The following is a 15,972-nucleotide window of genomic DNA, read 5'->3' as shown; positions in this document are numbered from 1 at the left end:
TTGTGATTCTTTTTCCCTCAATAACACTTGAATATTTAGCTACATTAAGACAGTTATATGGAACTTATTTTTTTTCTTTCATCTGAGCCTTAATTTTGGCAACCAAATTAAAATGTAACATTTTTATCACAAATATTTGTGGAGCATTTTAATTCATTTAACAAATATATGAGAGTTTCTTCTATATGTCAGGTATTGTGCCTGGCACTGGACACACAAAAGTTATAAGGTGGCTTTTGTTCTAAGTGAGAAGAATAGCCCACAGTGGGCAGCTCTGGTGCAGGTAGAGTGCTGACCTCGGTTCCCAAGGACTTTAGGTTGAGTTCTAGCTTATCATTTTCCTGCCAGCTGTGTGATTCTGGGCTAGTTACTGAAATTATCTGAGCTCCAGTTTCTTCTTCTGTAAAATACAATTAATAATATGACTCTAACTTCTATAGTTTAAATGTCTGTACCCCAAAAAATTCATATTGAAATTTAATTTACCATTGTAACAGTGTTGAGAGGTGGGACTTTTTTTTTTTTTTTATTGAGACAGTCTCTCTCCGTCACCCAGGCTGGAGTGCAGTGGCACAATCTCAGCTCACTGCAAGCTCCGCCTCCCAGGTTCATGCCATTCTCCTGCCTCAGCCTCCCAAGTAGCTGGGACTAGAGGTGCCCACCACCATGCCTGGCTAATTTTTTGTGTTTTTAGTAGAGACGGTGTTTCACCGTGTTAGCGAGGATGGTTTCAATCTCCTGACCTTGTGATCTGCCTGCCTCGGCCTCCCAAAGTGCTGGAATTACAGGTGTGAGCCACCGCGCCCGGCTGGAGGTGGGATTTTTAAGAAGTGATTAGCCCATGAGAGTTCTGCCCTCATTGGTGGAATTAATGCTGTTATAAAAGGCTGAGTTTGGCCCCCACTTGCTCTCTTGCCCTCTTGCCTTCTGTCTTGTGATGGTAAAGGCCCTCACTAGAGGCCAGCACCTTGATATTGGTTTTCCCAGCCTGCAGACTGTGAGCCAATGAATTTCCGTTCATTACACATTACTCAGTCCCAGGTATTCTGTTATAGTCACACAAAATGGACTAAGAGACCAATTCCATCTTTTTTTCAGTGAGAGAAACCCCAGTTTTTAATAATGTTTTACATATTGGATTTGAAGAGAAAGGATTAAACCTATTTTTTTTACATGACTGATCCCAGGGAAGCTTTATCTATAGTGAATATTGTCTTAAATTATAGACTTTTTGCCAGTCTGTACTTTATCTGTTTTTTACATGCATATAGTCTAAGTGAGCTAGGTTTTCTTCACCTATGTAAAGAAGAGCTTTCTAAGATGGCACAGAGCATACCCACCTTGTGGATATGGCTCCCTCGAATGCCTACAGGGTTAAGAACATCAGTGAATGACATGGAGGTCAGATTATATGTGGCTCTGTGTACAGGGTCTGTCTGGAGAGAGTGATGGCTACCCAGCTCTTATAGAATGCTTTTGGAATTCTGTTAAGAATGTGGAGTGTGAGCCCAGTGCTATTAGATCTTCCATCATTTCACAAGAAGCCAGAAACCTGGATTTCTATGTGAATGCTTCCTTTTTAAAACCTTGGTTATATATTTTTTATGGTGTGACACATATAGACGCATCTGTGGGCTGTGATCAAGCCTCTGATCACCAGATTGCAACTTCAGTAGAGATAATAACCCGAGACTTTGGAACCAGAAGAACTACTGCCATTATTAGCTGGAAGGATGACCTTGAGAAAGTTATTTAACTTTCTGACTCAGTTTATCCATCTGCAAAATTGAAGATTATATTGACTCCAATGCAGTAGCAAAAAATTTATGTGTAAAACCTAGCACAAGACAAACAATTTAAAAATGGGCAAAAGTTTTGAATAGATATTTTACTGAAGAAAATATGGTTAATAAGCATGCAAAAAGAGTATGAACATCACTAGTTATTAGGGAAATGCAAGTTAAAACCACTGAATGAAATACTGAACAGAATGGCTATTATCAAAAAGTCAAATAATAACAAGTGTTAGTGTGCCCGGAATTGGTTCCTTCCAGTGAGTTCTTGGTCTTGCCGACTTCAAGAATGAAGCCGTGGACCCTGGCAGTGAGTGTTACAGTTCTTAAAGGTGGTGTGTCCGGAGTTTGTTCCTTCAGATGTTCAGATGTGTCCAGAGTTTCTTCCTTCCGGTGGGTTCGTGGTCTCGCTGACTACAGGAGTGAAGCCACTGACCTTCGCAGTGAGTGTTGCAGCTCTTAAAGGTGGTGCATCCGGAGTTGTTTATTCCTCCTTGTGGGTTTGTGGTCTCACTGACTTCAGGAATGAAGCTGCAGACCCTCGTGGTGAGTGTTACAGCTCATAAAGGTAATGCGGACCCAAAGAGTGAGCAGCAGCAAGATTTATTGTGAAGAGTGAAAGAACAAAGCTTCCGCAGAATGGAGGGGGACCCGAGCAGGTTGCTGTTGCTGGCTCAGGTGGCCAGCTTTTATTCCCTTATTTGGCCCCACTCACATCCTGCTGATTGGTCCATTTTACAGAGTGCTGATTGGTGCGTTTACAGTCCTTTAGCTAGACACAGAGTGCTGATTGGTGCATTTGTACAGAGTGCTGATTGGTGCATTTACAATCCTTTAGCTAGACACAGAGCACTGATTGGTGCATTTTTACAGAGCGCTGATTGGTGCATTTACAATCCTTTAGCTAGACACAGAGTGCTGATAGGTGCATTTTTGCAGAGTGCTGATTGGTGCATTTACAATCCTTTAGCTAGACACAGAGCACTGATTGGTACATTACAATCCTCTAGCTAGACACAGAGCGCTGATTGGTGCATTTACAATCTTTTAGCTAGACACAAAAGTTCTCCAAGTCCCCACCCGACCCAGAAGCCCAGCTGGCTTCACCTCTCAATCCCCCCTCTAAACAGGACACCCCAACTGCTGTTGGAATTGGGTGATGACTGCTCTAGCTACTTCCTGCTGGATGGGGTGAAGAAGGGGCCCTGCAGTTGTACTGTCCTCCAGAGGGGAACTCTTTAGGTCAGTCAGAGGGCCAGCAGGTCGGTCCAGGGGTCCTTGGTAGAAGTTGTTATTTGAGCTCATTTGGGGTTCCATTTGTAAGACCATTGTAGCTTGATGGCCTTGATCCTAGAGGAAACAAATTTGGCAAGGAGGTTAAAAATACAGGGCCCAAAGGTGAGTAATAGCAAGATGGCTGTCACAGGACCTAGAAAGGGGAGAAACCATGTTGCCCAACTCCAGAGGTTGGTATAAGAGTTTGAAAGGTGTTGTCTGATTTCAGAAGCCTTTTCCTGTAAATGCCAGGTGACATTTCATACTATCCCCAACTGGTTAGTGTAAAAACAACACTCTTCCCCTAAGAAGGTGCAGAGTCCTCCTTTCTCAGCAGTGAGGAGGTCTAGGCCTTGGCAGTTTTGGAGAGTCACTGCTGCCAAAGAGTCTATTTGGGACTGTAGAGTCAGGATAGGTTTTGTTATTTCTTGCAAACTGTCTGAGAAATCCTTTGAGAGTGTGTGGTAGTAGGATAATGAAGTAGATAAACTGGCTATTCTGGTTCCTGTAGCAGTAGCCATTCCTAACCCTACAAGTAGGAGTATTCATTGTATGGCTCTGCACTGATGGGCTTGAGCTTTGAGGGGTACTGATAGGGTCTGATTTCCTGGGGCAATGTTAATGTTGGGACTTAGAAAGACTAAGGTGCAGGTGCCTTTCCAGTTAGTAGGGAGGCAGATACAGGTTGACGTTCCACATAAGAAGAATATACTTCGGCTGCATAGACAGAACTGGTTGTGTATGTTAAAAAGGTGTGTGAGTTTGTTGTTTTCACTTTCCCATACTCCTAGAGTACTTGCCAAGGTAGCTCCGGTGTGTGGCTGGAAAGGGGTTTTGGGAGCAAACTGAGTGGCTCCCTGTGTTCTATTTTCCCATTGGAGAAAAAACCATTTTGTATCTACTAGGAACCATTCAAGAGAGTGATTAAAAGAGGGGATGAGAAGGCATTCACTAGTGGTGGGGTCGCTGCTGCAGGGGGTTCGGGGTGAATGGTCATGCAGGGAGTGTGTTTGCCATTACAAAACCTGGACTGTTTGTTAAGCAGGGAAGAGATGATGATTTTTGGAGGCCCTGAGAAGCGGACAAGCCATCTGAATGGAGCTGTTTGGGTAACTCAGCAGTTACTATGATCAGTTGGGGTTTGAAGTGGTAGAGTGTAATTCCACTGGCTGGCTTCAGGTATAAGTACCTTTCCTTCTTCTGTCATGAACCACCCCAAGGGGAGAAAACTATACCCCTGTGAAAATCCCCATTCTGTTTCAGTTGGGGAATACTGGGGCTTAATATCTTGGAGAGGGTTGTTCCATACCAAGCATCCTTCTGTAGGTATTTCTAATGGGAGGTTCTGCCTGGCAGCGGTTTTGGCCTCAGCATCTGCCCAGTGGTTTCCTTCTGCCTTTTCTCCTTCACCTTTCTGATGGCTTGGCAGTGTAAGACTGCCACCTCCTTGGGTTTTTGCACTGAGTGCAATAACTCCATAATTTCCTTGTGGTATTTAATGGGGGTTCCCCCAGAGGTTAGGAACTCCCTTTCTTTCCATATTGCAGCATGGGCATGTAGGATTAGATAAGCATACTTGCTATCTGTATATACATTTATTCTTCTTCCTTTTCCCAGTTCTAAGGCTCGGGCAACTGCCACTAGTTCTGCTAACTGGGCACTGGTCCCTGGGGGAAGAGGCTTACTTTCAACTACAGTTACATCACTAACTATGGCATAACCTGCCCTTCGTATCCCATTCTCCACAAATGAACTTCCATAGGTATATAGGTTAAGGTCAGGATTAGCTAAGGGGACTTCTAAGAGATCATCTCGGGCGGCATAAGTCTGTACTATAATTTGTTGGCAGTCATGCTCAATTGGTTCCCCATCCTCTGGGAGAAAAGTGGCAGAGTTGAGGGCTACACACATACGTATTTGAAGCACTGGTCCCTCAAGGAGTAGCACCTAGTATCTAAGTAGGCAGTTGTCTGATAGCCATAAACTTCCTTTGACACCTAGTATGCCATTTACATCATGAGTAGTCCAGTGAGATCCTTTCCTTGTATTATTTTGATAGCCTCTGATGCTAAGACGGCCACCACCACAACTACCCGTAAACAGTAAGGCCAGCATTTTGCTACTACATCAATTTCCTTACTTAGGTATGCCACTGGTTGTGGGATTGTTCCACAAGTCTGAGTAAGGACTCCAAGAGCTATCCCTGCTCTCCCTGACATATAAAGAGGAGTTTTGTCCTTTGGGAAGGCTTAAAGCTGGAGGTTGTACTAGGGCCTGCTTTAAGGTTTTGAAGGCTGTTTCTGCCTCTGGTTCCCATTCTACTAGATGAGTATTTGCCCTCTGGTTCTCCTTGATTAGAGTATAAAGGGGCCTGGCTATCTCGCTGTATCCGGGGATCCATAGTTGGCAAAAGCCAGTGATTCCAAGGAACCCCTGCACCTGTTTTAATGTCTTAGGGTGAGGATAAGCCAGAACAGGCTGTACTCGTTCCTTGCTGAGGGCCCTGGTCCCTTTGGCTAAGATTAGGCCTAAATATTTGACCTGCTGTAGGCAAAGCTGGGCCTTCAACCTAGATGCCTTGTACCCTTGATTAGCTAGAAAGTTCAAGATATCTAGAGTAGCATGCTGGCATGAGGCTTCCAAATTGGCAGCCAAAAGTAAATCATCCACATACTGAAGGACCAGAGTGTCTGGACTTAAGAAGTGGCCTAGATCTTGGGCCAGTGCCTGGCCAAACAGATGAGGGCTATCCCTAAACCCTTGGGACAAGACCATCCATGTAAGTTGGGATGTGTGGTCTGTGGGATCTTCAAAGGCAAAGAGAAACTGGGAGTCAGAGTGCAGGGGAATACAGAATAAGGCATCCTTGAGGTCCAGAACAGTGAACTATTCTGCTTCCTCTGGTATTTGAGAGAGCAGGGTATAGGGGTTGAGTACAACTGGATATGGAGGAATTACTGCCTCATTGATGAGTCTAAGATCTTGCACTAGCCTCCACTGACCATTCAGCTTTTGTACTCCCAGAATTGGAGTGTTGCAGGGACTGCTGCATTTCCTTACTAAGCCTTGAGCTTTTAAATGTTTAACAATATCCTGTAATCCTTTATGAGCTTCAGGCCTTAAGGGATATTGCCTTTGATAAAGAAAAGTGGTGAGGTCTTTAAGCCTGATTTGGACTGGGCGGGCATTTTTTACCCTTCCAAATTGTCCTTCCAATGCCCAGACTTCAGGGTTGATTCCCTCCTCAAGTAGGGGACAACAAATGGGTAACTTGTTCCCCATATTCATGTAGATAATAGCTCCAGCTTTGGCTGATATATCCCTTCCTAATAAGGGTGTGGGACTTTCAGGCATAACAAGAAAGGCATGTGAAAAGAGCAAAGTCTCCCAATTACAACCGAGGAGGTGGGAGAAAGTTAGAGGCTGTCCCAGGATTCCTCGGATGGTAACGGACCTTGAGGACAGTCGTCTGGGGCAGGAGATTAACACTGAGAAGGCTGCACCAGTGTCCAGGAGGAAGTCAATTTCCTGGCCCTCAATGGTTAAACATATCCGGGGCTCAGTGAGGGTGATGACATGAGCTGGCACTTGCCCCGGGCATCCTCAGTCCTGTTGTTGGATCATCTGGTTGGGGGCTTCTGGCCCAGAGACACTGTGCTCTCTGGGGCAGTGTGCCTTCCAGTGATTGCCTCGGCATAGCAGACATGGACGAGGGGGCAGATTGTTTCTCGTTGGACAATCTTTTTTAAGGTGTCCTTGAAAACCACACTGGTAACAAGCCCCACCTTGTGATTGGCCTGCTCCATTTACTGTCCTCTCTGAACCACCAAGGTTTGTTTGTCTGAGGGCCATGACAAAGGCTGGGGTCTTTCTCTGATCTTGCTTTTCCTTTTGTGCCTGTTCCTCTTGGTCCCTATTATAAAACCAACGTTGCCAGGTTTAATAATGCCTCCAGATTTTGTTCAGGGCCCAGGGCTCGCCTTTGGAGCTTTCTTCTGATATCTGCGGCTGATTGGGTAATAAACTTATCTTTTAGGATCAATTGACCCTCTAGTGAGTTGGGTGACAGGGGAGTCTATTTTCTTAAGGCCTCCCATAGCTGCTCGAGGAAGGCAGAAGGATTTTCTTCCTTTCCCTGAGTTATGGTGGACATCATTGAATAATTCTTGGGCTTTTTCCTAATTCTCCTTAGTCCTTCTAGAACACAGGTCCACAGATGTTTACAACTCCAGTCCCCATGATCTGAGTCGAGGTCCCAGTGGGGATCCATACTGGGGATGGCTTGCTGACCAGTAGGGAATTTGTCCCTTTCTTTGGCTGTGATTCTATCATTTACTTGACTAAGATACCAGGTATCTCCAAACTCTCGGGCTGCAGCTAAAGCTGCATTCTTTTCATTAAATGCCGGGGTTTGATCTAATAATAGCATGACATCTCTCCAAGTGAGATGGAAGATTTGCCCTAGACCCTGTAGGACATCTATGTACCTATCAGGATCATCTGAAAACTTCCCCAAGTCTGCCTTGATCTGCTTCAAATCAGAGAGGGAGAAGGGGACATGTACCTGGGTCGGGCCAAATCCCCTTCCCCCTACAGCTTGAAGGGGACATAACCGATAGCCTGGGGGTTTTTGTGGTCCTTTGGAGATTTCTTTGCTTGTTTCCTTCCAGGTGGGGAAGATTAGAAGTGGCTTATCATCAATAGAAATGGGAGCTATAGGGAGGCTAGGATATGGGGGTAAGCTGAGAGGTCCTCCTGTGGGGTGTAAATTGCAAGCTTTGCATAGTTGTGTATTCTCCTTCAATGAAAAGAAAGCTTGGACATAAGGTATTTCACTGCATTTGCCTTCCCTCTTACAGAAAAGGTCAAGCTGCAGAATAATATTGTAATTTATACTTCCCTCAGATGGCTTTTTTTCCCCATCAGAGAGAGAATAATGAGGTGCCTCTCTTTCAGAGTTTGCAGGTCAAATTGTTCCCAATGGCTTAGGATGCATTTTAAGGGTGAGCCTGTTGATGCCTGAATGTTTCCCATTTGAAAGACAAAACCACACGTGGTTTTGGTTTGTTTGTTTCTCCCCCTGCCCAAGAACCCACAATGGTCCCTGGACCCTGCTGATCGGAATAGTTGTGCTCATCAACACAGCAGCAGAAACACCTCTTACCCAAGAACCCACAATGGTCCCTGGACCCTGCTGATCAGAATAGTTGTGCTCACTGATGCAGCAGCAGAAATGCCTCTTGCCCAAGAACCTGCAACGGTCCCTGGACCCTGCTGATTGGAATAGTTGTGCTCACTGACACAGCAGCAGAAACACCTCTGGCCCAAGAACCTGCAGCAGTTGCTGGACCCTGCTGATCAGAATAGTTGCACTCATCAACGTAGCAGCAGAAACACTAGTTTTCCTCCTAGACTGCAAGGAGGACCAAGGAATGTCAGATTTAGTGGCCCTTACCAATGCATTCTCGAAAACCTGCAACCTTGCCTGTCCTCCTAGACCACAAAGAGGACCGAGAAAAATCGGATTTAGTGGCCCTTATTGATGCATTCTTGAAAACCTGTTAGAGTCCTAAGCATTGTCATGTTAGTATTGGGACTTTACCCATGTCCTATAAAGATGTTATGCCCCAAAAATGAAGTGGAGGTCCATACCCTGAGGGAGAGAAGGGATCTCCAGGGTAGGAAGAGTGACACCTTTTGTCCTCACTTGAATAGGAAGGATGTCATTTCTGAAGCTCCCCATATCCTAGCTTCAGGAATAGCTTTTGTTAGGCCTACTTCTCTGAGGAGGGATCCTAAAATTCCAGGTAGTCTCCCCTATGATGGGGCTTTGGGCAAAAATTATGTCTTTCTGCTTGGTGAGCCCGTGTACCTAAAGAAGGGAATAGAGTCCTGGAGTTTATACTAGAAATCATAGGAGAAACTAGAAAAGCACCAGAGACAGGGAGTGGTTTTTAGAAGTGGGACTAGCCTCAGAGAAGAGAGACGAGAGGAAGTTTGTCTGACAGGCATTAGGACCCAGGAGGCAAGTGTCAGGATAGATAGCATAGACGGGCAAGTTTCGCTTGGGTGACATGACTTTGAGAGTTCCGCTCATGGCCACAGGGTCAACCAGCTTGTTGTTGGGACCCCAGAGCTGAATGGCTTTCCTCTCTGTCGACCCTTGGCTCAGCCCAGAAGTAAAGGAAAAGCGGAAGCTGCTTCCAGGCAAACCAGCGCTCCCAACTCTGAAGAGCTGGGGATTGTTAGAGAGCTCTTTCCCAGAAAGCCTGTTACCCATGTCTTTAATCTGGCAGCTGTGCTAGTCTCTTTTAACTGGCTGACAGGTGCCCGGTATTTAGCCCCTGAATTCTAAGGAAAAATAGGACAGAATAGCAAGTGAAAGGGGTCCAGTGGTTCTCACCACTTGGCGATAGTCGATAGTCCCATCTGGGTTGCCAAAATGTGTCCAGAATTGGTTCCTTCCAGTGGGTTCTTTGTCTCGCTGACTTCAAGAATGAAGCTGTGGACCCTCACAGTGAGTGTTACAGTTCTTAAAGTTGGTGTGTCCAGAGTTTGTTCCTTCAGATGTTCAGATGTGTCTGGAGTTTCTTCCTTCTGGCGGGTTCATGGTCTTGTTGACTTCAGGAGTGAAGCCACAGACCTTTGCCGTGAGTGTTACAACTCTTAAAGGTGGTGCGTCCGGAGTTGTTTATTCCTCCTGGTGGGTTCGTGGTTTCACTGACTTCAGGAATGAAGCCGCAGACCCTCGTGGTGAGTGTTACAGCTCATAAAAGTAATGCGGACCCAAAGAGTGAGCAGCAGCAAGATTTGTTGTGAAGAGTGAAAGAACAAAGCTTCCATAGCGTGGAAGGGGACCCAAGCAGGTTGCCACTGCTGGCTTGGGTGGCCAGCTTTTATTCCCTTATTTGACCCTGCCCACATCCTGCTGATTGATCCATTTTACAGAGTGCTGATTGGTGCATTTACAATCCTTTAGCTAGACACAGAGTGCTGATTGGTGCGTTTTTACAGAGTGCTGATTGGTGCATTTACAATCCTTTAGCTAGACACAGAACACTGATTGGTGCATTTTTACAGAGTGCTGATTGGTGCATTTACAATCCTTTAGCTAGACACAGAGTGCTGATTGGTGCATTTACAATCCTTTAGCTAGACAAAGAGCACTGATTGGTGCATTTTTACAGAGTGCTGATTGGTGCATTTACAATCCTTTAGCTAGACACAAAAGTTTTCCAAGTCCCCACCTGACCCAGAAGCCCAGCTGGCTTCACCTCTCATTAGGATATACAGAAACTGAAATACACATTGTTTCATATAATGCTAGTGAAAATGTAAAATGATACAGCCATTATGGCAGCAATTTGGCAGCTTTTTTTTTTTTTAATAGTTGGCTGAGTGCAATGGCTCATACCTATATTCCTAGCACTTTTAGGAGGCCAAGGTGCGTGGATTTCTTGAGGCCAGAAGTTCGAGACCAGCCTGGTCAACATGGTGAAACCCCATCTCTACTAAAAGCACAAAAATTAGCCAGCCCATGGTGGTGCACAACTGTAATTCCAGCTACTCTCGAGGCTGAGGCATGAGAATCACTTGAACCTGGGGGGCGGAGGTTGCAGTGATGATGTCACTACACTCCAGCCTGGGTGACAGAGCAAGACCCTGTCTCAAATTAAAAAAAAAAAAAAACGAACAAACAAAAACAACAACAAAAAATGTTAAACATGAGTTTACCATATAACCCAGCAACTCTACTCACAGATATCATGAAAACATGATTTGCCTATATGAAAACATATAGGAAAACATGTGTCCCTGAAAGACTTGTTTGGGAATGCACGTGGCAGCATTATTGATAGTATCCAAGGAAGTGGAAACACTTCAAATGTTCACGTAGTGGTGAAAGGATATACAAATATAGTATACCCAGGCAGTGGAATAAAATGTAATGAAATACTAATAATACTGAAATGTTGATGAACCTCAAAAATATTATGCTAAATAAGTAAGCCAGATGCAAAACATCACATACAATTCTATTTGTAACAAATATCTGGGAAAACAAGTCTATAGAGACAGAAGGTAGATTAGTGGTTGCCTGGAGCTTAGCGTGGGAACAGGGATTGACTACAAACAGACACAGGCATCTTTTTGGGGTGGCGATAATGTTCTAAAACTAGATTGCAGTGATAGTTGCACGGTTATGTAAATTTACTGAAAATCTTGGAATTGTACACTTAAAACCAGTAAATTTTACAGTGTGTAGATTATATCTCAATAGAGCTTTAAAAATACAAAATCATATCTAGCTTGATGTATAGTCATTGATTAATAAATGTGACTTCTTCTCTTCCTCTTTAAGTACAGAGAGGCAAAATTGCATAGCAATTAAGAATCCAGGCCCTGAAGCTGAACCCTGGTCTTTCCACTTACTTACTAACCATGTGTCCTTAAAAACATTACTTAGTCTCTCTAAGGCTCAGGCTCTTCATGGTGAACTGAAAACAACAACAGCTATCTCATGGAGTTTTACAAAGAATTAAATGAGGCCACACACATAAGATGTGTAGCATACAGTAAGCCCACAATCAATGACAGCAACATAGTCTTCCAGATCCAGGACCTCCTGTCTGCCCATTTCTTATCTTTACAACAGTGGTTAAAACAGAGTTCTCTTTCCTCTTATTCTTCACTGATCCCCAAAACCTCTGCCCACTCTGGGATTTTCTCTACAAAATTTTAGTTGGTTTATAGGTCTATCCTGTGGTCTAGGCTTGGAATACTGCTTAGCATTATCTGAACATGAGTTGCTAGCCACTTATATGAGAGTGTCACTTGGAGGTAGATAAGCAACTTTAATAACACTCAACATGGTAACATGCATGCTCTGTTGTATCTACTTACATATGGGAAGCTCGCCGCCCTTTTGCAGATGTTATCAAGTGGCTTCTAAGGCATTCCTGTCAGGTAGAGGGAGCGAGGACCGAGAAGAGAGCCTCCTTTTGCAGACTGATAAAAGGATGTACAGAGAATCGGGGAGGTTTGCAGGAATTATATGGCAAACAGATGGAGAGAGGTGACTAATGGGAAGGAGGTCCTTGAGGGTTCCTCACACAGTGGGGTCACACTCTCACATCCCTCCGGGCCAGGCACTTGGTGAGTAATCTTGATGTAGAAAACCAGAGCAGGTTCAGTCTGCCTTTCACTTCCCCTCAGTGGAGAGAGTTCTGGGACACATCTGTCTGTCTTTACTTCAAGAAAAAGCAACAGTGTGAATGTGGCGATTAATGTGGTCCTATGGGCATTAGGCAGTGGTCAGGACCTTGGTGAGCTAGGGGGTCCGGGCCCCTTTCAAAAGGAGCATTTGTTAATCAGTCTCATTTTGTTTCCATGTGGAAATGGGGCCTAGAGTGGCCAGAACTATGCTTCCTTTAAAAGTTAGAAAATCAAGTTTTTGTGTGACATTTCCTAATTTTAAAATATTGCTAACATTTTTTTAAATGTTAGCCAAATGAAATACATCTACCAAATAGATATAACCCCAGACCTAACCCCTATTCTAAAGTAATCTTCTGTATTCATTATATATGTTAAGCAGATGCTGAAAGGAGCTCATGAGGATATAGTGGAGGGGATTCTTGCATTTAATAAAGGGTGGGATAGCTTATTATTGAGGACTCTTCCTTTTTGTTTTATTCTATTGTGTTAGAGAACTGGAGGTAGTGTCCAGGCCTAAGGCTGCAGCCACATCCTGGTTGTCCCAACACTCATCTCACTGGTAGCATTTCGTAATGTGTTATCATGTGTGCATGAGAATCACATCAATTTTTCCTTCATTGGCATGCTACATTTTAATAATTGTTCAGATTTCATTTTTTAAAAAAGGATGCTATTATAAGCTATAAAACTCAGAAGGGCTTTGAAAAATCAGAGCCGACTGGAAAAGCCTTTGCATTAAATGCCTGTTCTGAGTGGATGTGCTCATCTATACTTCAGATCAGAGAGATGTTTTTGAAGAAATACCATCAGCTATTTTGATATGTTCTTTGCTGACACATACTCACCACTGATTTCAGTATCTCCCAAGCCAACTTTGCAAAATAGAGAACTTAAGTGGAAATAAAGTTATCTGTATCCACTATTGCTTGGAGATGTGATGTAAAGCCTTAAAAGTGAATATGAGATTTGGAATTTAGAAAAGGAGCTCTTCTGACCTTTGATCACTCATCTTTTTTTTTTTTTTTTTTTTTAAGCTGAGCTCTCTTGAGTTGTTTAGTAGCTTTCATGGGCTAAATCTGTGAAATTCATTACCCTCCCCACACAGTGCATGGCTGATGATGTCTCCACTTAGTTTTGCTTTTTTCACTCATGTTTTTATTTTTAAGCCTAAGGGTTGCCACGTGTTTGCATAGCTCAGCAGTCAGAGTGGACAGAGGTTGTGTTCAAATACTTCAAGCTAGTAAGACTTTCTTGGAACTATGTGTGGGTAGAAAAGCATATTAAAAGTTTGGGTATTTTTCAAAGCTGTTCTGGCTTTGAATTTACACTGTGCTTTTTCTTGTGAGCTATGTGCATGTTCTCAGCCTCAAGATCAGCCAGGAGTGTGTGAACAGCTTATGCCAGATGAGCAGCCTCAGGCAGGAATACGTCTCTGTCAGACCAGTGGAGTTATTGACCCTCACTGCTGGCTGCCTTGGGTCATCACTTCTGCTGAAAATACACTTGAGCATGGGCATCTCCCACCTTTTTGAGCCTGGTGAGTCCACATTTACCTGGCAGAAAAGTTGTGGTCTTTAGGCTCATCCTGCCCTCTTCGAGCTTCCATATGGATTGGGAAGGAGTTCAGTCCCAGGCAAGCAGGCACCAGATTCCCCCTGTTCTGACCCAAAGTTCAGCAGATTTTCAAACATAAATGTTTCTCAGGTCGTTATATGCTGTTGTTCAACTTCCAACTCTGGGATGGTTGATTTTGCTAATTTTGTCCAGCTTTATAGATGTTGTGGAGAGAGAGGATTTGTCTATCTCTTCACTTGGCTATTCCTGGAACTTGTAATAGGTTTTGCTTTGCTTCACGCACTCCTGGCTACTGAGTCTTTCTCTCAAATGTCATTCCCATATCTACCGTCATGTCATTGCTTGCTCTGAGAACCGGACCTGCAATGTTTGTGCCAGTTACTAAGTTATTGGCACTTAGTTACAACGCTATCCTTTTGTTCTTAACTTCGTGATGAAATTTTTATCTTTGTCCACTGGCTCCCTCTTAGGCTCTGCCAGTAGAGGGTGCTAGAGGGAGACTCCATGACTGGATAGGGCCAGGCAGGACTTGCTCCTGGTTTGCTTCCCGGTTTTCGCAGGGCTAACTTAGAATAGGTTTCTCCACTTTGGCATTTTGGACTGAGTCATTCTTTCTTGGGGGATGGTGTCTCGTGTGTTGTAGGATGTTTAGCAGCACCCTGTCCTCTACCTACTAAATTGTAGTACCAATCCCTCAGTTGTGACAATTAAGACTGTCTTCAGACATTGCCAAATGTTCCCTGGAGGGCAAAATCGCCCCTGGTTTAGAACCACTGACCTAGAGTCTAGGTATAGACATACTTCTTCACTTTGGCAGCTGCAATTCCTTCCCTTGGCAGCAGCTGAATCCATTTTTGTAATAGACTATAATGTATACAGGCAATGTACACATATTCCTTATTATAATGTATACATACAATGTATACCACCTAGCCACTAAATAAGATGACTTACATCCATATTCATTGACTTTAAAAGATTTCTGTAACAGAATAATTGAAAAATAAAACAGGTTTCCAAAATAAAAAAGTAGAGTTTCAGTGTGAGTGTTTGTGAATGTGTTTGTGTATGCTGTGCAATTATGAATGCCTGGAAAGACCTTCGCTAAGGTGTTCAAGGAGGTGGGATTTTAGGAAACTTCTAGTCTCTTTGCGTTTTTCTGAATTGCTTGAATTTTCTGTATGTGCACAGGTTATTTTACAATGAAAACTGATGTAATTATACTTATTTAAAAGAAAAAGAAAGGCAGAAAGGAAGGTGGGGAGGAAATGAGTAACAGAAGGAAAAAAAGAATAGAGAAAAAAAAGAAAACAAGGTTGCTGTGGGCTGACAGAGACTTAAGAATAGCTATTATTTGGATCAGCCTTCTGAATTCATATACCTGGGTGCAGAGGTTTGACAGGATCGTTGTCAGTCTCGTATAGCACTGTCCTTTGGCATGATAAGAATATCCTCTTTTCCCGTTACTTTAAGGGCAAGATCTGCCTGTCAAGGCTGATTCTGCACTTTGAAGAATCATCCTTTATACCTCCCTCTCTTTCATGCCCTACATCCTATCTATCACCGAACATTGTTACCTCTTCCCCCTAAATAACCTGTCTCAGCCCCTCTGTACCTATTGTTACCTCCTCCCTTCTCTTCCCTGGACCATTGCAAAGCCTCCTAATTGGTTATCATGTTGTTGCTTTTGTACCCCTCAAATCCCATTCTTTATATTGCAGCCAGCCTAATCTTTCTAAAATGTAAATCTGACTATGTCATTCCCTAGCTTAAAAGCCTTAAATGGGTCTCCATCGAGAAGTAATAAAGTCAATAGTCTTGAACCAGGCTCTTGGTGACAATGCAGTAGTTAAGGAATGAATTCTGGAGTTCATAGCCAAGTTTTACTACTTACTAACTGAATGGCCTTGAACAAGTTAGTGAACCTCAGTTTTCTTTTCTGTGAAATGGGCATGATGACAGTATTTACTTGTATGATTACTGAGAAATTATATATATACATATATGTCTTTAAAACATGTATCTATATCTTTTAAATATATACATATACATATATGTTTAATCACAGAACAGTATTTGGCACTCAGTAAGTACTGATTAAATGTTACCT

At 43.5% G+C, this 15,972-nt stretch overlaps 1 protein-coding gene across 4 annotated transcripts in view, besides 1 other annotated feature; it reads left to right on the top strand.

Annotated features, from left to right (window-relative positions):
• DAB1 (DAB adaptor protein 1) overlaps positions 1–15,972 on the top strand; it is a 1,551,949-nt gene that overhangs the window by 369,219 nt on the left and 1,166,758 nt on the right. The gene's annotated exons all lie outside the window — the stretch shown is intronic.
• Positions 7,786–8,360: an enhancer, noted in NCBI's record as "NANOG hESC enhancer chr1:58634820-58635394 (GRCh37/hg19 assembly coordinates)". NCBI's record gives its function as "activates a minimal SCP1, AML or CMV promoter by ChIP-STARR-seq in primed H9 embryonic stem cells {active_cell/tissue: H9 hESC(primed)}" and the evidence as "EXISTENCE:reporter gene assay evidence [ECO:0000049][PMID:30033119]".

The sequence above is a fragment of the Homo sapiens genome, chromosome 1 (genome assembly GCF_000001405.40).
Source record: "Homo sapiens chromosome 1, GRCh38.p14 Primary Assembly".
Taxonomy (NCBI): domain Eukaryota; kingdom Metazoa; phylum Chordata; class Mammalia; order Primates; family Hominidae; genus Homo; species Homo sapiens.
The sequence above is the reverse complement of the archived record's forward strand: the minus strand, read 5'-3'. Positions and strand labels throughout refer to the sequence as shown.